Here is a 24,349-nt window from a genome sequence, read left to right on the forward strand (position 1 = left end):
AGCGTCTATTATAAATGAAAGGCCCCCTGAGATCACATCTCCAGCATCTACTTTGTATTCTTAACCATAAACTTTTGTTGTAGTTACTTCTCTTACTGTCTTTTCTTGAGGCTTGAACTACATCAGGGACCCTGAATGCTATTTTTCAGTTCAGCCACTGAAATTTCTTAACGGCAAAACAGGTTTAAGCAAGCGAGGTTAGTAGGTAAATTAAAAAAAAAAAATCTACTGAATATTTTAAGTTTAGGGTAAGATTTCTGGCACAGAAAATGAATCGTTTGTCAAGGTTTTATTAAATGCATATTAGCACGGGATGATATTTATATTTTAATCAATTTCATTTTTTACATCTTGATTTCAAAGGGGTATTTCCTTTTATTGTTCTTTTTTAAAAAGCCACTAAAGAAAAAACAGAAATCTCCATTTCAACATTCCCTCAAACATTTTGCTTCCTACATGCGATGACGTCTAATCACTCTGATCGATGCAAGCTTTAGGGCACTGATCTCATTTTCTCTCTCCAGTTCTGGCCGCCAAAGCAGCAGCAGCAGCAGCAGCAGCAGCAGCAGCAGCAGGCTCTTTAATTTATTGCAGGCGGTTACACTTTCGATCCCATTTCCTTCTGAACCCTTTCCTCTCAGGTTGAGTAGATAAATGCAGCCTCGGGTCTGAGAAGCCGGGGGGGGGGGGGGGGGGGGGTTGGTGGGTGGGAGCGAAGCCGGATATCACATTCCCTCGGTGAGGTCTGGTACCGGGGGGGATTAAGTCTCCCGGTTCCATTTAATGAAATTGCTGAGCACTTGTGACACTGGCTCTAAGACTGCGGAAATGGGGCGGGGGTGGGAGAAACTGCTTCTCTCTTCATTCATCCTCTGCGCCGGCGAGAGGAGAGAGTGTCAGCCCCTAGAGAGGGGGCGGAAGAGGACTGGGAGCTCCAGCCGCCGCAAGGGCGCCCCGAGGGCTCCTCTCACCTCCCCCGTACCCCTACCCCGCCCATTTCCTTTGCTTGCCCAGAACGGCGCTGCAGGGCAAAGCCGCCGCCACTTCTTTGCTGCTCTGGCAGAAAGGTCGGAGCCTGGGACTGATGGGGGTGGGAGCAAAGCCAGCAGGCTTCTTGGCCCCCGCAGTCTGTCCTCGCTGTTCTCCATGCAGCACACGTCGGACCCATTTCCCACGCTGGCTTGGCTCCGCCGCGAAGTTGGTAGGAATGAGAGTGAGGAGGGCGGGCTGGAGACTTCCTCCCGCTCGCAAAGAGGAAACCACTCCACTGTGAAGGACGCGCTGCAACTCCCTAGTCATCCGGGAAGAAATGTGCAGCGCGCTGAGGAAAAGCCGCCCACTCCTTCGCGCCCCGCTCAAGTGTGCGCCTGGAGAGTGCGCGCCAGAGCCGCGAGCAAATGCTTTGAAGATGCGGAGAGGCTTATTCAAGTTTATGGTCTGGAGAGGGAAGAGGGAGTGCACAACGTTTCTGCCCAAGCGGCTGCCTGAAGTTTGCAAAATCTTAGTAAGGCGATGAGGGGAGTGAGTGCACTGCACCATATTGCCGCGCATCGGAATGCACGGCGCAAGGCCGCGGAGTGGAGACGGCTTCTCCCATTTGCCTCCAACCTGGGAAAAAGGGGAACCAGGGTCGGAGGTTTGGAGAGAGGCAGGCGTTCCGATAAACCCGGGTTCTTGCCAAATGTAAGAGGGATTTGGCTTTACTGCCACTTAGCCGGCCGCGAAGGCGCTGCGGAGCCCACCCCCGCCCCCGGCTCGAGACTGCGGCGGTGCGCACTGAGCCTGCGCGCGGGGCTTTTCTCGCTGATGCTGCAGATACAGAGCTGAGAGGTTCGGGTGCCAGCAGCGGGAGGGTTAGCGGGAAGGCCGGGTTCCCTGCCCTGGCCTCGGAGGAGGAGCCACCACCCCTGGGGTGATGCTACTTTCACAGACTGGAAAATACTCGCCAGCTCCCTGACACACACTTAGACACACTTCCATCCAACGGGCATCTACGATCCCCTGTAGGGAGAGCTTGGAAATCTCTGCCGCCTCTCCCTCCTCATTCCTGTTCCTGCGCCCGCCCAAACAACCGCGCGCTACATCTGCTCGTTGACTTTATTGGTGTTTGTCTTGTTTAAATCATTCTGCCTCGTCACCCAGGTCTCGTAAAGAATACCCACACTGGACAGATTTTATTTTTTCGGCTTTAAATTTTTCTTTGAGGGGAGGCCCTTAAATGTGTATGGATACGTCAGGCGAGCTGAAGACTAAGCAAATCCCAGCAGCGGCCCTTTCTCTCTTTCGAGATGGTAAAAATTCTCCCCAAATACCTACAGTCCGTCTCAGTCGTCTTAATCCTAGCCGGGCCTCTTCGTTTACAGCCACTGAAATAAATGAGTAAATGGCTCAGTTCAAAAACACAACCAGACCTGAGATCTGATGAGGCCGGCTGCGGTGGTCGTGAATGAAAATTGGAGAAGCCTTGCTTCAGGAAATAGGGACAGTCAAGGGACACAAAGTCAAAAGGAGAGATGGGAAAGCTGGGGACACTTTGGTACACAAAGTTGCCATTAAAGTTTATTTCCCTTTTATCCAGATAGGTGACGCTACACTTTGCCAGTTACTAAAGGCTGCAGGTTTCTGCTCAGAAAATAATATCGAGGTTTCCAACATGTGTTTATTCCCCAGGCGCGCACACACGGTCTACCCCCGCAAGCAAGCACGACGACAGGAATGTCAAGCATTTAAACAAAGACAGACATCCTTCACCCTCCACCCACCGCCGCCCCTGCCCCCCGCAACCATCCAAAGTCTGAGCTCCCAAAAAAGGATCTTTCTCCAGCTCTCTGGAGTTTGATGTTCTCTCTTCACTACTGCAGCCCGTCATGGTTTTTCAGAACAGAGTGGCTTTCTGGGCGCTCGTAGGTTCCCCAGGACCCCGATAACCATGTCCTAACCAAGATCCTAAATCGCGAACCGGAGACACTTTCCGGGGGGAGGAGGACGTCGTCTGAGAGGGAGGGAGAAGGAGAAACCTATCCTGACACCAGCTCCGAAAGCTCTCACGCGTGAACTGGGCATTAGTCAAGGGAGGAGGAAATTTACCAGCCCGAGGGAGGGAAAACAAGTCCCCCAGAGAAGACGGCGGTACTCGCTAGGGAGGGGGACTGGGCTTTGGCTTAAAGAGGACTGGCTGGGATTGGGCACACTTTGAGCGGCCCCTGGAGCTGAGGCTGGGCTTTCCCGAGCGCGGCGGCTGGCTGACGCTCCCTCCCGCCTCCTTATCCCGGGCCCTCCTCCCTCGCTCTCTCCTAGTGTGTAGTTTCGGCGGCTCGGCTGCTACTGCCGCCGCCGCTGCAGCAGCAGCGTCAGGGACAAGCCTGATCCGTGAGCGAGCGAGCACCCAGCAGCAACCACCACTTTGGGCAACTTGCGGGTTTCCTGCTCGCGGGTAGCGAACGGGAGATTCCCACTAGCGGTTCAGTGTCTCCGAGCCGCTGCAGCCCGAGGGGCGGCGGGAGCGCCCGCACCAGACTCTCCCAGACGCGAAAAGGGACGAGACAACTGCGGAATTCACCAGCCGTGCCAGGGCACTTCCGAGGCCACAACCGACTGACACTTTTTCTCCCCTTGGCAAACTGGATTTTTTTTTTTAAGCTACTTGGCAGCTGTCTCTGACTCCACCTCCCCCTCCACCCCCGCCCGAAAGCCTTTGGCTTTTCTTCGGAAATCCAGACAGAATTGGGCATCTTTGTTAATTGCCGTTGGGGACGCCCGGCCGTGCGCTTTCGCCGGCTAACGTCGCCTGTGCTCCGAGCCTGGTTTGCTCACCTTTGAACTGCAAAGGGATCAAGTTCAGCTTGAGTTCCCTGCATTGGGAAGGAGAGAGAGCGTGCAAGAGAGCGAGTGGGAGAGGGGGAAAGGGGAAAGGAGAGGAGGGAGGAGAGAGAGGAGGGAGGAGAGAGAAAGGGAGGGAGGGAGGGGAGGGATCGAGAGAGAGCGGGGAGAGAGAGGCTGCAATCTCCTCCCTGAATCGCGCACAGCGCTGCAGATCCCACTGCTCCGACATGCGGGCCGAATGCAGGTGAGAAAAGGCACGGACTCTGCGGCTGCGAACCCAAACTTGGGCACCGCACGGTGCGCACTGCTCAGCCTTCGCCCCCGTGGGCGAAAGGCTGCTGCGGTTTCAGGCGGCTGCTTCGTGACTAATGACCTTGCGCAGAGTTGTTAAGAAAAAAGAGAAACCCGCGCTCTCCGGGGTGAGAAGGGACTGACTCTGGGCGTCTCTGAAGATGGCTCGGGCTTCTCTTTGGCGCGCCGGGGGGACCCTGACACTGACCGCTCTGTGACGCGAGTAGTCTCCCCTGCACCGTGCCCGAAGCGACGTGCCGGGGGATTTTTCATTCTCGATCTGTTGACTGGCTCCCCCGCTGCATGAGCAGAGTCGGAGTTGAGACTGGCTTGTTGCTGGCCCCAGCGCCTGGTGCAGGAAGCGACTCACGTTTGTCTGGGTGGCCGGAGCCGGAGCAGAGCCTGGGTTTGGAGTGAGTGCCTGGAACGTGAATTGGACTCAACTCGAGTAGCAGCAAAGACCAGCGGGCTGGCAGGCGGGGGAGGCTGCAGGCTCATTCCCCACCTCTTCCCAGCCCCACTGCCCGTCTGCCGGAGCGGTTCTGGCCCCTTCCGACAGAGCGGGGACTAGAGCCGGGGATTCTCCGCCCGCTGAGGGGATGACTCTGGGTTGGGGGAGCGCCGAACCCGCGGCGCGCAGTGTCCCGTGAACTGTGAGTACTGCGACTGAACGGCGGCAGGCGAGCGGGCGATTAGCACCCATTGCATGAATTATGAAACAATAACTTTCGGAAGAAGCAGGAGGAAAAAAAGAAGCATCTATCGCTGCCCTCCCACCCCCATTCCCGGCCAACTCTCCACGCCGCTTTTGCCCCCTCCCTCCCCTCCCTCTCGCTCCTTCCTTTCCGGGAGAGGGGAGAGGACTCGGGGGAGGGCAGGCGGCCGGCCCCGGAGGAGGGGGGCGCCGAGGGGGCTGTGGTTAGAAGGAGCAGTAGCAGCAGCAGCAGGAGAAGATGCTGAGGATGCGGACCGCGGGATGGGCGCGCGGCTGGTGCTTGGGCTGCTGCCTCCTCCTGCCGCTCTCGCTCAGCCTGGCGGCCGCCAAGCAGCTCCTCCGGTACCGGCTGGCCGAGGAGGGCCCCGCCGACGTCCGCATCGGCAACGTGGCTTCAGACCTGGGCATCGTGACCGGATCGGGTGAGGTGACTTTCAGCCTGGAGTCCGGTTCCGAGTACCTGAAGATCGACAACCTCACTGGCGAGCTGAGCACGAGCGAGCGGCGCATCGACCGCGAGAAGCTGCCCCAGTGTCAGATGATCTTCGACGAGAACGAGTGCTTCCTGGACTTCGAGGTGTCGGTGATCGGGCCCTCGCAGAGCTGGGTGGACCTGTTTGAGGGTCAGGTCATCGTGCTTGACATCAACGACAACACGCCCACCTTCCCGTCGCCCGTGCTCACGCTCACGGTGGAGGAGAATCGGCCGGTGGGCACACTTTACCTGCTGCCCACAGCCACCGACCGCGACTTCGGCCGCAACGGCATCGAGCGCTACGAGCTGCTCCAGGAGCCCGGAGGCGGCGGCAGCGGCGGCGAGAGCCGGCGCGCCGGGGCGGCCGACAGCGCCCCCTACCCCGGGGGCGGCGGGAACGGCGCGAGCGGCGGCGGCTCGGGAGGCTCCAAGCGGCGGCTGGACGCATCAGAGGGCGGCGGCGGCACCAACCCCGGCGGCCGCAGCAGCGTGTTCGAGCTGCAGGTGGCGGACACCCCGGACGGCGAGAAGCAGCCGCAGCTGATCGTGAAGGGGGCGCTGGACCGCGAGCAGCGCGACTCCTACGAGCTGACCCTGCGAGTGCGCGACGGCGGCGACCCGCCTCGCTCCTCGCAGGCCATCCTACGGGTCCTCATCACCGACGTGAACGACAACAGCCCCCGCTTCGAGAAGAGCGTGTACGAGGCCGACTTGGCTGAGAACAGCGCCCCGGGGACCCCCATCCTGCAACTGCGCGCAGCCGACTTGGACGTGGGGGTCAACGGGCAGATCGAATACGTGTTCGGGGCGGCCACCGAGTCGGTGAGGCGGCTGCTGCGCCTTGACGAGACGTCCGGCTGGCTCAGCGTCCTGCACCGGATCGACCGCGAGGAGGTGAACCAGCTGCGCTTCACGGTCATGGCCCGCGACCGCGGGCAGCCCCCCAAGACCGACAAGGCCACCGTGGTCCTTAACATCAAAGACGAGAACGACAACGTGCCGTCCATTGAAATCCGCAAGATTGGGCGCATCCCCCTCAAGGACGGGGTGGCCAACGTGGCCGAGGACGTTCTGGTCGACACCCCCATCGCTCTGGTGCAGGTGTCCGACCGAGACCAAGGCGAGAACGGGGTGGTCACCTGCACCGTGGTGGGCGACGTGCCCTTCCAGCTCAAGCCAGCCAGCGACACCGAGGGCGACCAGAACAAGAAAAAGTACTTCTTGCACACCTCGACCCCTCTGGACTATGAGGCCACCCGGGAGTTCAACGTGGTCATCGTGGCGGTGGACTCAGGCAGCCCCAGCCTCTCGAGCAACAACTCCCTGATTGTCAAGGTGGGAGACACCAACGACAACCCGCCCATGTTCGGCCAGTCGGTGGTGGAGGTTTACTTCCCTGAGAACAACATCCCGGGCGAGAGGGTGGCCACGGTGCTGGCGACAGACGCAGACAGCGGTAAGAACGCCGAGATCGCCTACTCGCTGGACTCCTCTGTGATGGGGATCTTTGCCATCGATCCCGATTCTGGGGACATCCTGGTCAATACCGTGCTGGACCGCGAGCAGACTGACAGGTATGAGTTTAAAGTTAACGCCAAAGACAAAGGCATCCCCGTGCTGCAGGGCAGCACTACGGTGATTGTGCAGGTGGCTGATAAAAATGACAATGACCCTAAGTTTATGCAGGACGTCTTCACCTTTTATGTGAAAGAAAACTTGCAGCCCAACAGCCCTGTGGGGATGGTCACCGTGATGGATGCTGACAAGGGGCGGAATGCAGAGATGAGCCTGTACATAGAGGAGAACAATAACATTTTTTCTATTGAAAATGACACGGGGACCATTTACTCCACAATGTCTTTTGACCGGGAACATCAGACCACATACACTTTCAGAGTCAAGGCTGTGGATGGGGGAGATCCTCCCAGATCTGCCACAGCTACAGTCTCGCTTTTTGTGATGGATGAAAATGACAATGCTCCCACAGTTACCCTTCCCAAAAACATTTCCTACACTTTACTGCCACCTTCGAGTAATGTCAGGACAGTAGTAGCTACAGTGTTGGCAACAGACAGTGATGATGGCATCAATGCAGACCTGAACTACAGCATTGTGGGAGGAAATCCCTTCAAGCTGTTTGAAATTGATCCCACTAGTGGTGTGGTTTCCTTAGTGGGAAAACTCACCCAAAAGCATTATGGCTTGCACAGGTTGGTGGTGCAAGTGAATGACAGTGGGCAGCCTTCCCAGTCCACCACGACTCTGGTGCACGTGTTTGTCAATGAAAGTGTTTCTAATGCAACTGCGATTGACTCCCAGATAGCTAGAAGTTTGCACATCCCACTCACCCAGGATATAGCTGGTGACCCAAGCTATGAAATTAGCAAACAGAGACTCAGTATTGTCATTGGCGTGGTTGCTGGCATTATGACGGTGATTCTAATCATCTTAATTGTAGTGATGGCAAGGTACTGCAGGTCCAAAAATAAAAATGGCTATGAAGCCGGCAAAAAAGATCACGAAGACTTTTTTACACCCCAACAGCATGACAAATCTAAAAAGCCTAAAAAGGACAAGAAAAACAAAAAATCTAAGCAGCCTCTCTACAGCAGCATTGTCACTGTGGAGGCTTCTAAGCCAAATGGACAGAGGTATGATAGTGTCAATGAGAAGCTGTCAGACAGCCCAAGCATGGGGCGATACAGGTCCGTTAATGGTGGGCCCGGCAGTCCTGACCTGGCAAGGCATTACAAATCTAGTTCCCCATTGCCTACTGTTCAGCTTCATCCCCAGTCACCAACTGCAGGAAAAAAACACCAGGCCGTACAAGATCTACCACCAGCCAACACATTTGTGGGAGCAGGAGACAACATTTCAATTGGATCAGATCACTGCTCTGAGTACAGCTGTCAAACCAATAACAAGTACAGCAAACAGGTAAGATGTATCCCAAATATATTTAAATATCCCAGGGAGGGCTAATAACTCTGAGACAGATTATCTTCTGTAAAGTTTTGTCTTCTCGTTTTTAAAGTTATTAAAATTTTAACAGTAGGAATTTAATGTTAATTTTTGCACCATTAATTTAGCAAAGGCCATCTACAAGAGGTATACCACTGTATTTTGCAAATTAGAATTAAGGTTCACTAAACTACTGAAAGAAGTATTCAGAGTAGGCAGTGTTTGGCAGTTCTCTTTGCACTTGACATCCCTAATTCATACTACATTTTTTTGTTTCCAGAATAAATATGTGTGTATTACTTAGATGGTTAGTTTTCACCTGAAATTATTTTCTTCTGTGGCAACTAAGTGGATAATTACATCCAGAGAAAAAGTTTCTAAAGTTACTACTGGTGTCTATGCAAATTGGATTCCATAGAAGTTTTAGCTATGTTATTTACAATGCAGGATTTTACAGATAAATAGATGCTGATTCATGCAGATGTAGTACTAAGTCTGAGATATTGAAATACTGACTACTTTGATGAAACTGCTGGTTTAAAAATATTTACTGATATGCAAATGTCATGCAAAACTCCACTTTCAATCTTTTATATCTATAATAATCGATACCTATAACAATTAGTGTTCTATAATGATATGCAATTACCATTTGCATTCTTTCTGTTTGGTATTAAAAGTTTGCAAACAAAAATACATTGCATGAGCCATTTATTATTTAAGCCAAGTAATGAAAATATTCATGATTGATGTACTGTGTGCAAGACTATTTTGGTATGCATTATGATATATTGAGAATGTAAAGATTATGTGGAATATTTGACATAATAGTTTCTCAGTGAAATGTGGAAACAGTAAAAAATACATATATTCTGAGGCGGAACTTAAGCAAATCTGAAATTTATTTTTGAAAGTTTTCCTCGTGTAATATAGCATCCTCAGAAAGTTTACTTTGTATATCTACCAAAGTTTGCCACACAGCAAACAAGACCTTTTGGAAAGGACTGTGTCTCATGGTACAGCAACCTCAGCTAATAAAACATTACGTATTTCTTACTGTCAGAACCCATCTCAAGAAACACAGTTATGATTGTCAATCTAATTTCTATTAAACATGCTTTGCATGTGGAATGTGGAATCCGAGAAGAATTGAGGCAAAGGAAAAAGTTATTTTATAGCCTCATTGAAGATTATAGTTATAGAAAGAGATATGAATTCTTAATTGCTTTCATGATTATTGAAATTAGTATTTTAAATAAATATTTTCTGTATATAGTACTTTACTGTAGCTATTCAGATAAGGAGAAACAGTCTGAATATACTTTTATATCTAATAACAAATGCAATCCAAGAAAACACCAGTTCAAACTACATTTGCATTAAATGGCTTTTGAAAATATGTCCTTTGGTGTATGTGAATTTGAATTATTTATTTATTTTAAACCAACATTTGACATAGTGGAGTGTTTATATCTGTTGTATTATTGTGTTACATGGAGTGAGAAGCTGATTTTTGTGTTGTTTTGGTGCTTTTATTGGTGTTGTAAACAAGGAAGATTCTAGCTAAAATGGTAGCACTTTTTACAGATTAAACACTCAAAAATAAATTGAGATTTGTAGACATTTCTCTAGAAAATAGTAACACCTAATGCAAAGGAGTGTGAAGAGATCTGTCTGCAGAATATTTACACCTCGGTTCTTATCCTAATGGTACTTCTGTCCTGTGTCTGGATAGCATTTGCGTTCTAAATTGTGTAATCTTATGCTTTTGAATGGACATATCAAGTGACACTTTTATGGATATTTTATGCAAACACTTCATATGTTCTGTGCTGTTACTTAAGCTTCATTTGGCTCATCAGATGAGGTTAGCTCTATATGCTTGAATATTTAAAACAGCTAATATCAAGACTGTTGGCATCCTGTTTAAAAGGCAAAGTGATATGCTTATAAATAAACTAATATATGGTGTTAGCCTTTTAACTGAGTAAAGAAGTCCACATTCCAAAAGAGAAAACCCTCAAAGCAATTGGAATGAATCACACAGTTTGCCAAAAGTGACTTTGGAAAACTTTTCTGTCATTACATATTCAAAAGAAGTATACACTTTTAACCCCAAGTAAATAGCTGACCTAAAATGAAATAAAGGCAGATGAAACACATTCCCCTTAATGTAATTAGTAATAGTAATTGATATGTTTCATCTCCTCAATATTGCTGTCAGGGGACAAGGGATCCATTTACAAAGTTACATTCCGTTTTGACATCTGACATAAATGGGATCCTTTTTGTTCTGCTTTTTGTTTGTGCCATAAGTAGACAATTTCCTATTTTTATTTTTAAAATATATGACCTTTAATTTTTACAGAACTGCCAAAATATATTTTCTTTGATTAAACCTGATGTTATAAAAGAAAAAAAGAGAATTCAGGGTTTCGCGGGAATTTCCTTCTTTTGATAAATGGATTTATCTAAGGTAAAACTAGACTGTTGTATTCTTTCAATTCCATACAGCAGGGTCTAATTTAAAAATTGAGATTTCATTTTACATTCATTTTATTTATAGTTTTCCTGAATTGCCTTATTGCAGTTATTTATTTGTGAAAAAATTAAAGTGATGTTTCTTAAGAGTGTTCTTATCTTCATGAAAATTAGACATTTTAAAGTGTTGAACCTAAGTCCTGTTGTTTTCATTATAATAGGTTAAACAGCTTTGTAGAAATGAAAGTTTGTAAATAATACTCTCCCTTAACTGCTTACTTTTTGTTTTGTTTACATAGACTTGAGAGCCATTCAAATCAAGCTTCTATGGCAGACTCTAGGAAATGTGTGTGGTAGAGTTGCTGGAATTATTTCCGAAATTCACACTTTAGAAAAACTCACTGATGATGTAGCCCAAATTTTCATAGTTCATACCTTTGCATTTCAAACAAAAGCCTTTGCTCTCAGCTAAATAATGTGTTTAGCTGAGCAAAATGTGGATCATTGACAGCATGATTGAGATTAAGTATCCACCTTTCTGTTTCATTCTTCCTTGGTAAACCTGGTCTTGGTAGTTGTTAAACTTTTGTGAACTAGAAGTACAACTGTGTTTTTCATTCATAACATAAAGGCATACGCATTCTATTTTTCTGTTTATTTTTAAGTCTCTGGTATTTTACTATGTGCTAAGCATTTTTCAATTTTCTTTTAAAATAATGTAATCCCCCCAAAGAGTGATAGTATGAAAAGTACAGTTACTATTTTGCTTATTATTCTTGAATTCTATTGAGCTTATCCTTGATAGGCTGTTATTTAGATAATGCACTTACAAGTAAAAATTTTATTGTATTTAGTAAATGGAAAGTAAGGTAATTTATTTTTGGCAAGAGCTTAGTTTGAATAAACATCCATTTTAAAATCCACTTGCAGCTGATCCTGAAATACAAAAAATTTACATTAACTTCAGTGACAGTTTCAGTTTGTCTTCATAATGTTCTCTTTAGTGATCGAATTATGTTCAATATATTCATTGTATACCTAGTGAAAAAATTTGGGAGAATTTTTTAATTGCTTCAATTTTGGAAGCAAATGGTTGACTTGCTGTCATCTATTAAGCAATAAGAAAACTAAATGTCAATTCATTTGTGTGTGTGTGTGTGTGTATACATACATATGTATATATATATATATATATAGAGAGAGAGAGAGAGAGAGAGAGAGCATATATATATATTCTTTAGTGGAAATGCATCTACATAGTGATGCCAACCATAGCTTCCAGTGCTCATTCTGTAAGCATAATTTTTACAATGTTTTTCTCCTGTCTATAACCAAGGATGTTTTCATAAGGCACAATGAATCTGCATATGTTGTAATTTCCGTTACATTTGGCCTGATACCATAGGCAAAACACTAATAGCTGATGGAAGTTAGGCTGTGTCTTTAGTCATCTAGTAAAGCAACACTATCTGGATCTCTGGATGTCTATGAAATAAGGAAAAGGTCATCCATTGATTTGATCCGCAATGAATTTGCAAATTTATATGGAAGTCCACATGATTATTTGAATCTTATCCAAAACTTATCCTAAACCAATTAATGACTTAGATGTAAGACCACAAAGTCAGTTTAAATATTTTAATGAGCCATCTAGTACAATAAATATGGCAAAATCATTTTTTCTTATCCTTCTATCTTTGAGTAATTACATATCTCGTATGTGAAAAAGTGTGAACATGGTTTATATCACAAACTCTGTACACACAGAGACATATACACACATATTAGTGTATACCATTTATAGCTGTATTAGTCTTTTATTTAGTCATGATGTTTATAGATTAATATGTGAAAAATATCTAAGCTTAAACATACACAATGTTGAAATAAAATATACTATAATCAACAGCTTAATGACTGTACATGAAATCACTAGCATCATCACATTTTAGAATTACAAGGTGTCAAACAGTCCCCTCATTTTAATAGAAGAGGAGACTGAGGCCCAGCATGAAACAGTGACTTGATTGGGATTACAAAATTGTCAGGGATATAATGTGGACTAGAGTCCAAGTTATGGAATGTAGTGTCCAGTATTCTTATTTATCTGATCATACTACCTTTGGGGGAAAAAAACTGAATTTCTGTAACTTTCTGTGTGTGTATTTCAATTGCAGTAGAAATCTGTTGAAATTTACTTACTTATTTATGACTATATATTTGGCTATGAAGATTGACATCTTTACAATAGACTATAATTCTGCTTTAGGCTCCAGTTCTTCTGTGTAAAATTATCTGGGAAAATATAATTCAAAATTTACAGAATTTTAAAGAAGTTAATAATTCTTTTCCCTCATGTAGGATTGTAATTGATAACATAGAGTAAAGCATCTTAACATGGTTAAGAACATATATTCTGTTGACAGAATTTTTAATATTAGCAGAACAATGATAACAGACATAAGTTCCTTCCTAGCAATTAGTATATTTCAATAAAAATTCATTTAAATAGAAAAGAATTAAAACATTCTACACATTATGTATGAAACTTTTTATGCATTCTAATTGTGATAATCTTTTACCTTTTTCATCAATATTGATAATTACTTTTGACTTCTGGGCTTGTGTGCATTTTATCAACTTTGCACATACATTTTATTTTAGTAGCATCCTTAACACACAGTCATGCACGAATGTTTTCTCTTAATTTGTTTTCTAGCAAGTTTTTAGAAGAATATGACATTTTGTTAACTTTCAATTGGATTGCTTCCTTGTTAGGCAGTTAACCAATCTAGTGTACTAGATTCTAAATTTGCACAGTGATAAAATATAAATTATTGAATCTATTAATTTTAAAAATAAAATCTGAACTATTTTAAAAACTAAATATAGTGTGACAAAGCCATTACTTCAACACAGCAATCTACTCTATTAAACATTTTAACATCTTTTCTTTCCTGGGAGGATGTGGTGGTGGAGATTATGTAGGAGATTTAGTATAATTATATACAGTATTTTAAATATATATATAACTTTAAATATATAACATGACTTTGTTTAGAATAGTCATGTATAAAGAGTGTATAATCGATTTCTAGACTATGGCAAGGTTTCCCATTCATTTATTTACTATGACTCTATAGAAATAGTAAGAGCTGTTCCCATATATCTAGAGTAAGCTTTGCTTTTCTTAGTTTTTTTAAAAAAACCCATAGAATCTTTTCTAAAGCAGTGACTCTTTTGCGGTACATTACACTGTGCTTTATTTAGCATTAGTGTTGTGGGAAAAATCACATTCTAAGAAGAATTGAGCTGAAACCACTAAAACTAATCTTAATTATCACTTCTGGTGAATTAATGTTTTAAAGGCGGAATCAAGGTTTATTTTCAGGAATGTAGTGATGTTTGTATTGAACTCTAATGCTGTGTACAAACAAAAAGCTATTAAAGCTCCCAGGTAGGATTCCTCTGACAAGTTAACTTCCCCCACCCCCCAAGTGTATTTATTATTTACAAACACAAAGTTGGCATTAAAATTTTTCTTAGCTCCGAAATCTCTACTAAAGCTTTCCAATTGGGCATAAGACACTGGGGAAAATTTCTTTATCGATTTTTTTTTACCTGCATAAATCTTTATTTTCCTTCTTTCAGATGCGTCTACATCCATACATTACTGTGTTTGGCTGAATTCCACTCTAATATGATGCTCCATTATGCACCATACTGTGATGACCTTTCTACTCCGAAACCTGCTGGAGCCTGCCCTTGGCCGTGGGGTGTCAGCCAATCACTGCTTGTTCCACTTGTTGTACATTTTATTTTTGAGTCTTTTTCTTTCTCATATACAGAAAAATAGTATGAAAATAAAATAAATGTATGAAACAGTATTAATGCAGAAATGTGCTACTAATGGATGTCTGAGTCACCAGAAATTCCATTCTTAAAGAGGCGGTTAGCACCTATTAGACGTAACAGTGATGTCTTTTAAAAAATCCAAAAGCATATTGCAACAATAAGTTTGAGACTTTGTGTGAACAAAGGGAAATTCAGCCTCTTATGTCTTTGTCTTTAATACATTAAATACTGATTTTGAATAAAAATCTAAATTGATCAATATTTTTAAGTGCCATGTAATCACAGGCCTGTCAGATAGTTTTGTTAGAGTGAAGGATAATATCTTTTGCTCATTCTGTGTGTGTATTTTTAAATGCTGTTTTGTGTGTTTGTGTGTGTTTCCATATATGTGTGTGTGTGTGTGTGTATATATATATATATGCTGGAACTTTGAGCAATATTTATAAAAATATTGTCTGTAAAACAAGTTTGAGAAATTAATTTTTTATATTTATAATGGGCACTGTAATGGATTGATTTTTTTCTTAATCTTGAAATAGTGACCAAGATATTTATATCATTTTTGAATTTATTTTTTAATTCTTTAAGAAAATTTAGAACTTTTCACTTTCATTTGCTAAAGTCACTGTAGTCACATTCGGAAGGAATATGTGGCTTTCTGTTCTTTATGGACTACGTTTATCAGAAGTCCATATTTATTAAACATCCTATTTGATGTCAGATAACGTAAACTCAAGCAGCTTCAAAGAGTTCAGCATGTTACATATTATTGAGAGAGCAAGTGACTGAATTTTAGTTGTATAAGCAATATTATAGGTAGGTCAGGGAGTCCTCTGGATGGCCCCTCTACCTCTTTATGTTTGTATGTTTATGTCTTTATTTGTTATGTCGTATGTGTTTATGAGCCTAGAAAATAGCCTAGAAAATAAGTGTTCCATATGTAAAGTTTAATAATTTTGTAATACATTTACCACGCTGTCTGCCCTATTAAAATTTTCCACAAATTTGGGAACTAAGAATGCCAAATTCTCAAGATTTTTTGGTGAATCACTCTCAATATAATAGCCACTTAAGAAAAATAAATAAATAAATATTGGAAGGCCATTGGAAGTGATAGGAAATGCACTGTAACCCCTGTGAATCTCTAATGTATACCTGAGGATTTTCATTTTATAAGCTGTGTATTTAATCTTGCAAAAGGGAAATTTTCAGAAACATCACTGCAAGTACAGTAAGATTTCTGTATAAAACTTAATTATCCTCAACCTCTCATTTTGTTTTGAACACAAGGACTAGTGTAAGAAACTGGTGAAAGGAACCTTACCAATCTCTGCTTCTTGAAAATGCTGTTTTCCTCATTCCAAATAGTAAACGTCACTAGATATTCTTCAAATGTAAATCCCGTAACAAGTCATATCAACTCAAAAACAAATTACAGAAAAATCAAAGTCTAGAATTTTGGGTTAATTTAATGTGCAATCACATAGAAGTGATATTTATGAATACCTTCACAAAGAAGAACATTGTAAGTTAGCATTTTCTAAACAGGTTGCAACACACTCTTGAGGTATGAATCAATTTATTGAGTCTCTACCACAATTAGAAAAGTACAAAATAAAATAGAAAAATTCAGAGTACATCACCCATAGTAAGAGTAAATATTGACTTGTGCAATTTTTGTTTCAGTTGTGTTTGTGTGGAGGTGTGTGTTTCTGTTCTCGGTTGCTATGTTAAAAATATATCTTATTGTGGAAGCAGTTGAAAAGGTTTGAGAACCAGCACTCTAGACTGGGGTAGGAAGTTATGGCTATTTACTATTATGACTGGAAAAACATAGTAAATCAAAGCAAGAAAAAAAAATGCTGACACTCTCAAGGATTTTAGTGTACTATTAAGCTGAATCAGAATGATCAACAGCATACTGATTACAGCAACATTTATCAACAGTAAAAAGCTTTTGAGAAGTCTATTACCATTCCTCTACTATTCTTGTGATTAAAAACAAAAAATCTTTGAACACGTGCCATTGGTTTATTGACCAGATACAGATTCCCAGTCCCCCTTCCCCAGTCCCTTACCATGCCCAGCGCCTCCCCAGCTATTCCTCACCCAGCTGTTGCTATCAAACTCAGGTCTCTAGGTCAGTGAGTCTCCTTTGTAATTACTGGAACTTACCATTTATGGAGGTGCCTGTGGACAACGGACAGGTTTAGACAGAGCAAACCACATATTACCCTGTATAGTTTAGCATGTGGATATTTTATTTTAAACTAGAAGACAATAATTAATTCTCCATTTCAAAATCTGAGAAGGAATATGAGATGCTAGAGACTGGTCTATTTTAGAGTAGTTCATCCTTTGGATAAAGTTTTTTCCTTTATCTATCAGTACCGGTCCTGGTACTAAAAGAATAATAAGATAGAGTCTTTGCCCTCATGGAATTAATATATTATAAAGATGATAACAGGGCAGAAAAATGTTACTTCGTTTCATTTAAAAATTTTATTTTATTTTTTTAAGAGACAAGTGTCTCATTATGTTGCCCAGGTTGGATTCGAACCCCTGACCTCAGGGGATCCTTCTCCCTCAGCCTCTGAGTAGCTGGGATTACAGGTGTCCACCACCACATTGGACAGAAAAATGATAGTTTATATTTGTATCATGCTTCTTAAACTTCAAAGCATTGAATACATGTTTGCTTATTTGTACCACAGAACAAACTGTGAGGAAAAGCACCAGTTTACCAAGGTGAGGATACTGAAATAATGAACAGGTTTTTCACGACTCTAATGTAACTAACTTAAAAACCTTATAACGTCTGTGAAAAAAAATATTCAGTCATAATTCAAGAGTACTGAAAACATTTGAGGGAAGTTTTGAAATGTATGTTTTGGAATATAGAAGAATTCCTTAAAACAGGTCCAGTTTTTCAAACATTTTGAGTCACAAACTGCACTTCATACTACTAAAAAATCATGCTTGTGGGATTAATTTGGAGATCCAATTATTCGACTGGACTTATGAACTACAGCCACATATGTGATTAAAAAACAAAACCCTCAAGAATTAGGCAAATCACTTTATAACCCTAACTTTATTTTTTAGGTTATCTTAAAAAAAAACACACAAAAAACCTACCAAAGTCTTTTGGGAGCAATTCCACAGTTGGAAATATCTCTCTGGGAATAATTTTCTATCTGCAACTTTGCAAAACACTTTCTTTGATGTGCGTGACTTTTTTAATCCATTCATTTTTTAGAAAATGTATTAATTTTCTATCTTTTTTTTTTTTTTGAGACATAGTCTGGCTCCATTGCCCAGGCTGGAGTGCAGCAGCACAGTCACGGCTCACTGCAACCTCTGCCTCCCACGTTCAAGCGATTCTTCTGCCTCAGCCTCCCAAGTAGCTGTGATTACAGGTGCCTGCCACCATGCCTGGCTAATTTTTTGTATTTTTAGTAGAAATGCAGTTTCACCATTTCGGTCAGGCTGGTCTTGAACTCCTGACCTCAAGTGATCCACTCACCTTGGCCTCCCAAAGTGCTGGGATTACAGGCTTGTGCCACTGCGCCTGGCCATAATTTTCTGTATCTTTAATACACACTGAAAGGCTTTGGAGTGAAGATACAACAACAACTAGAATAAGTTCCCTGTCTTCATACATAGGACAATGAAAAATAATATATATGAGGCAAGGGAGACATGAAGCTCAGAGGGACTGCTGTCAAGTTTTTTTTGCCATCACAGTATTTCCAGTGCCCAGTAGAGTGCTGGGCTTAGAGGAGGCACTCATAAATGCTTGTTGAACAAATAAACAAAGGGCCTAGGCTTTGTTGCTAGGTAGCCTGCAGATCCATCCACATTGGATTGTTGGAATATGGGGTGGCTATTTTATATTAGGCTCTGAGAATCTCATAGTTGCTATTTTCTGCCCCTGCTGGGTGGGTGTCTCCAAGATGAAAGTCTACCTGCTGTGTTGGCCGGAGTCCCTGCCTTCCTTGTGTGGTGTGTGACCCTTGTTTCGGTAGCACATGGGCAATTCTCTGATCTCCCCGCTTCCCTTCTTCTCCTTGGTGGTGTAAGCACGGAAGCCTTAGACAAGCTAAACTCAAGCAAATGTTTGAGGCAAGTAAGAGACGCACTGGTCGTACAGTACACTTTGACATTTTGAGGGGGTATGAAGAACAATCACAAAAACGTACAGGTTTTTAGCATTTTTCTGAATATCATTATCTGGAGAAGATGTAGATACATGTGCACACAAACACACCCACAAACCTCTGTTTTCGTCAACTGATATATTCCTGCAGATATTATTCCTTCGTTGTGCTAATCCATGCTCACCGATAAACTTTCCATCTTTGTTCAGTCAAATGTCAAGCAGCCATGTTTAAAGGTGAGGCGGGGCATATCTTGGTTTACTAAGCAAGGACGTATATGCCGTATCTTGAGAGCAACGGGCAGTGATTTGAGAGCAGAGCGATGCCTTGCAACTGAAAGTCACTTCTGAGCAGCCCAGAATTTTCGAAGGACTCCTCCTTTAAAGTGTAACTGACCGTAAGTGACCCCTGAAGCAGTTTGGTTCAGACTTTAGCTCGCCAGGGTGTAAACTGCTCTAAGTGGATAACTAGGTCAGCAACTCACAGAGATCAATAGTCCTTAAGAAACGGGAATTTTGATTAGGGCCTTGAGGAAAGATGGGGTAACCTTGGGTAGCTTAGAAGACTGAGACTTGTGTTAACGTATCTTGAATTCTAGCGAGGAGTTGGGGAGGTAGGGTGAGATTCTATCAGCGAAGGATGTTCAAGCCTGACAAAAGCAAATGTTTGTGGCCTGGAATTTTGGGCCAGGGCCTTGGTGACCATAAGGATGCCAGTAAACATCATGCTATATGATTGCAAGATTCGTGTGAAAAAGTAGGAAACCACTTCTTCCTATTTAGACCAAGTGGCTTGTTTGGGTTTGGTTTTTGTTTTCAGGCTAGAAAATTCAGTCTAACTGCTTCATCTCCATTCATTTTCTGCTCTCATACTTATGGGAGATAGAGGAGTACAAAGAAGAAAAAGGGGAAAAAGAAAGCAGAAAAACTGCGTGGCACCATACCCGACTCCTCTCTACTGCTGTTAGACAAGTATAGTAAAAATAGTTGCCACTTTTGACACATTATTGCCACACAGTGGTTTCTTACCCTAACTTAACTGGAGGAAGCTGAGACTTAAAGAGGATAACAAAGGCCTGTTTTTCACTGTTGGAAGAAACTTGAAAAAATACAAATAACAAAAATCTGTGGAATATTTAGAGCAGACCAAATGTAAAGAGCTCTCCTACCCCATACTGGTTGGATGGACTAAATATTTCAATAATTTGAGAGATAATATATTTCATTTATTTACCTGTAATCTTTTAGCAAAACAATAAAGATTAAATGGAATTAAAACTGTTTTTAATTTAAAAAATCGGGGTGATCTCATAATGTGGTGTGCGACTGTGTTAACCAAGTGTAATAGGCCTGTGATTTTTATCTGGCACAAATGTCATTTTAGTTTTTTTAATTTATTTTATTTATTTATTTTCATTTATTTTTTTTTTTTTTTTTTGAGACGGGGTCTCGCTCTGCCGCCGGGGCTGGAGTGTAGTTCCGCGATCTCGGCTCACTGCAAGCTCCGCCTCCCGGATTCGCGCCATTCTCCTGCCTCAGCCTCCCGAGTAGCTGGGACTACAGGGGCCCGCCATTGCTCCCGGCTAATTTTTTTGAGTTTTTAGTAGAGACGGGGTATCACCGTGTCAGCCAGGATGGTCTCGATATCTTGACCTCGTGATCCGCCCGCCTCGGCCTCCCAAAGTGCTGGGATTACAGGCGTGAGCCACCGCGCCCGGCCACAAATGTCATTTTAAATGCAGGTTTTGCATGCCGCATTCTCAGAAAATCAGTTCTAGGAAGTCTGTTCTATCGCCTAGAAACCTGAGTTTTTAACACTAACCCCTATTCTCCATTCTGATTGCAAAATGTAAGCTACGCTAGTGAAATTGGGAGTTACAGCTTTTGAAATTCTTACCACCTTCTTACTGGTTTACTCCTCAAAGGTCTCTGGAAAAATAGAAAACTAAAGCTGGATGAGGGAATCTAAATCTGCCTTCTAGCCCCAGCTCTGTCACTGATTGGCTGGTGTGACCTTGTGAAGTCCCGTTCAAGTCTTGAAGTCTCTGGAAACTCCTCTTCTGTCACTTTAGATTATAACTCCTGCTCTGATTACATGACAGGGTTTATGGGAGTCATATAAAACATTTGCAACTTTTTGAAGCACTAAAGCAACTGAAGAGAATATTTCTAATTATCTATGAATTTCTCTAACCTCTTTTTCAGTTGCATTTACACTTTTGGGGGCGTTTTCAATATATTATATTTAAAATATAGGCTGGGTGCAGTGGCTCACACCTGTAATGTCAACACTTTGAGAGGCAAATGTGGGAGGATCGCTTGAGCCCAGGAGGTTGAGGCTGCAGTCACCTGTGTTCACGCTGCACTCCAGCCTGGGTGACAGAGGGAGATCCTGTCTCAAAAAATACGTATGTATACATATGTGTGTGTGTGTGTGTGTATGTATTTGTTACACTTATCACTTGTTTGATCTTGTGATAGCTTCTTATCCTAGTCACTGTCTTCAAAGTTACAATAATTTCAGATCAAGGTGCATCAACCGAGTGTGGCCTTCCACATATACCAGTAGGCACTGGGTATTGTGAGAATGACTTTCAGTGCTGTTGACATGTCCCTGGTAAAGGTGGAGAGGTAAAGCTTGTTGTCATAAACTAGGTAGTATAGGAAAAACTCACAATAGTTTGATAACATTCTTTTTTACATTTGAAAAAATCCAGGTTAGTAGAGAGAATCTATGTGAGTCTACTCAGGATGTTATGACAAAATACCCCAGACCGGGTGTCTTAAACAACAGAAGTTAATTTTCTCTTGGTTTGGGAGGTTAGAAGTCTCATGTCAAGGTGCTGGCAAATTCAGTTTCTGATGAGGTCTCTCTTACTGGCTGTAGGTCTCTGCCTTCTCTTTGCATCCTCAGGTGACTCTTCCTCTGTGCCTGAGTGGAGAGAGAAAGCTCTGGTGTCTCTTCCTCTTTTTATAAGAACACTGGTCCTATCAGATTAGAGCCCTAACTTTAGTACCCCATTTAACCTTAATTTTCTCCATAAAGGCCCTATCTCCAAGTACAGTCACATTGGAGAATACAGGGCATGATTTAGTCCATGACAGAATCTATTATTTTCTGAGCAAAAACACATTGGACTGGACCATTGTTTCTTCATGAGCTTGTCTTTATTACACACAGCCCGTCCATTCCTGGGAAAGTACGCTTCCCATTTTAAAGGAAACTTTCCTTCCCTTGATGAGCTCCAAAAAACCAACCTTATGGATCTGTTCTTAAATTGAAAAAAAAAAAAGGTACAATTACTATCGTTTTTGTGAAAAATATATGAATCTATACTACGTTTGCATGGGCATCAAATTTAAAATACATTGTTTAGCTTACTATATCTAACTTATTAGGCACATCACTGACTGCTGTCTGCAATGTTAAGCTTTCATGGAGATTTCTGACATTAAATAACATCTTAGTTTTTTCTTAATTCTGCTAACCAATAAGTGCATGAGGGTATATTAATTAATGTAAAATCAACATTTACATGAAACAGTCTAAAAACTGTTTCACAAATTTAACAGTTCTTTTTAATGGCAATATTCATATTTAGTCTTAAAATTTTAGTGCATTTTCAGCATTAAAATGAAAAGCAATAGGAGTTAAGTGGAGAGGGAGTCAGTTGAAACAGAAATGTAGTCTTAATATTCTTCTTATGAAAGCACAGTCTCAGTGGATTTTCATGCACAGTGGCATAATTGGTCTGACATAGATCCAGTGGGTCTGATTTCTCATGGCATATGGAAACTGCCAGGCATGTAACCAAGGCTGGTACCACGCTCTGAGTGACTCTTCACGATTATTATGTACGCATGCAATACACGTTTTATCATGAGACCAATCCATGGACAAATTAAAAATTATGCTTTTGTTCCCTTTGTGCTTTTCAATGTTTAAAATAAAATAAAAATTTCCCATGATAAAATTAATAATGAGCAACCTGGAACTATATATATATATTTTATATATAAAAATATATATATTTTATATATATATTATATATATATATCTGTGTTCCAGTGTGCTGTAGGAGTGATGACTTTGTGAGGGTAATACAGGATAAACTCATCAAAGTCCAGAAGGGGAAATTCCTCCTTCTTTTCCTTTGGTCAGCATTTCTAGGCAACAAAATGTAACAGCGAATAGACTTTTTCTAAGAAGTACCTTTCTAAGCTTCTAGAGCTAATTTTACATTTGACCCTCTACAATTAATATTATAAACTTTAACAGTTCCCTTGTTGAGGGAAATGGCAATAATGATGGTATAAACAAATATATATTTTTTAAATTGCATCTAAATCTGTTTTTCAGTGTATTTAACTGTTGAACACAAGGATCAATTTCATATACAGAGATGGTATTTCTGTTGGATTTAGGAACAATAGATGGTAATGTCTGGATTTTTCCCAAACTAATGCTTATACTGTTAGGTCAAGGATATTAAAATTTACTCTGTTACTAAAACTTGATGTTTTCTTTAATGTTTTACCTTTAATAAGAAATGTATGTGTGTATGTATTTATGTGTAGTGGACGTATTCATATGCATATATACATATACATACATGAAACACACAGAAAGAGGTAATGCGGTTGACATTTCAGAAAGAAAATAGTGAATCACTACTATATGCCAATTATGCTTAAGGTCTATTCCAGGCACCAGAGAAAAAGTAGTAAATGAAACAGAAAAAAGTTTCTTCCTTCGTGGAGTTTCAGTTTTAGTGTTGTAATATGTAAATAGTATATCAATGATAATATGTAAATACATAAATAGCTAAACTTGCATTGCACACTATATTTTAGGCACTGGTCAACATATTTCACATATATTAACTCATTAAATAGTGATAATAATGATAAAGCAACACCTATAATTATCTTCATTTTTAGTTTTCGAAGCAATGTGCAGCAGCGTTAAGTAACTTGCTCATGGTCACACAATTTGTAAAGTGATAGAACTGAAGTTTAGGTAAGGACAGTTGGGCTGCAGAGGCCACTCTCTCTGCCACTGTGCATATATGAAGTAGAGGGAACACATCTATTTTACAGCCAACTAGTTCTGTGAGAATGGAATTGGATTCCCTTGCTTCTCTTCCCTTCAGTGATATTTCAACCTTGCTATTTTAGTATCTTGTACTATGTTCTTGAAATTAGGTCACTCTGTCCAATTTTTTAAAAAATAGTTTCACCTTAAATCTTACCTTATGCAAAACAAAAGATGGGAAGATGCATATTAGACCAGTTTTATCCTGTGCTTTTGGGAAACACTTCATAAAATATTTTTTCTTTTTCATTATTTTATTTCAATATTCTTCAATTCACTCATTATGTATATAGTTTGTTATTTATATCATTAGTACAGGTAGGAAAAAATAATTTCATTATTTTTGTTGATTGCCAATTGATTCAGGATAGGAAAATGCCTTTTCATAGAGAATAACATTTTGACTAGGATTTTTTTAAAAGTACATTTTGTTTACCTTTTACAAAAAAAAGATACATGTTTTTCTCTTGAGGTTTTTTTTTAATCTTTCACAAT

General features: G+C 41.9%; 2 protein-coding genes across 4 annotated transcripts in view, besides 1 other annotated feature; one reads left to right on the forward strand and one right to left on the reverse strand.

Annotated features, from left to right (window-relative positions):
* Positions 1-274: 274 nt before the first annotated feature.
* On the reverse strand, positions 275-2,765 carry LOC124900844 (uncharacterized). The gene has a single exon (XM_047416545.1). The coding sequence runs from the start codon at positions 1,549-1,551 to the stop codon at positions 985-987; it is 567 nt and encodes a 188-aa protein (XP_047272501.1). The 5' UTR covers positions 1,552-2,765; the 3' UTR covers positions 275-984.
* A 1,247-nt stretch (positions 2,766-4,012) lies between these two features.
* The window catches only part of PCDH7 (protocadherin 7), a 426,432-nt gene continuing 406,095 nt past the window's right edge, over positions 4,013-24,349 (forward strand). For 2 of the 3 annotated variants that reach the window (NM_001173523.2, NM_032457.4), the window contains exon 1: positions 4,013-8,240. In NM_001173523.2, the coding sequence (NP_001166994.1) occupies positions 5,067-8,240 (3,174 nt within the window). In that variant the 5' untranslated portion in view covers positions 4,013-5,066. Of the gene's footprint in view, positions 8,241-14,396; positions 16,618-24,349 lie in introns of those variants that run through there. The other variant, NM_002589.4, reaches the window with a different exon arrangement.
* Positions 4,822-5,532: an enhancer, noted in NCBI's record as "H3K4me1 hESC enhancer chr4:30722800-30723510 (GRCh37/hg19 assembly coordinates)". NCBI's record gives its function as "activates a minimal SCP1, AML or CMV promoter by ChIP-STARR-seq in naive H9 embryonic stem cells {active_cell/tissue: H9 hESC(naive)}" and the evidence as "EXISTENCE:reporter gene assay evidence [ECO:0000049][PMID:30033119]".

The sequence above is a fragment of the Homo sapiens genome, chromosome 4 (genome assembly GCF_000001405.40).
Source record: "Homo sapiens chromosome 4, GRCh38.p14 Primary Assembly".
Lineage (NCBI taxonomy): Eukaryota > Metazoa > Chordata > Mammalia > Primates > Hominidae > Homo > Homo sapiens.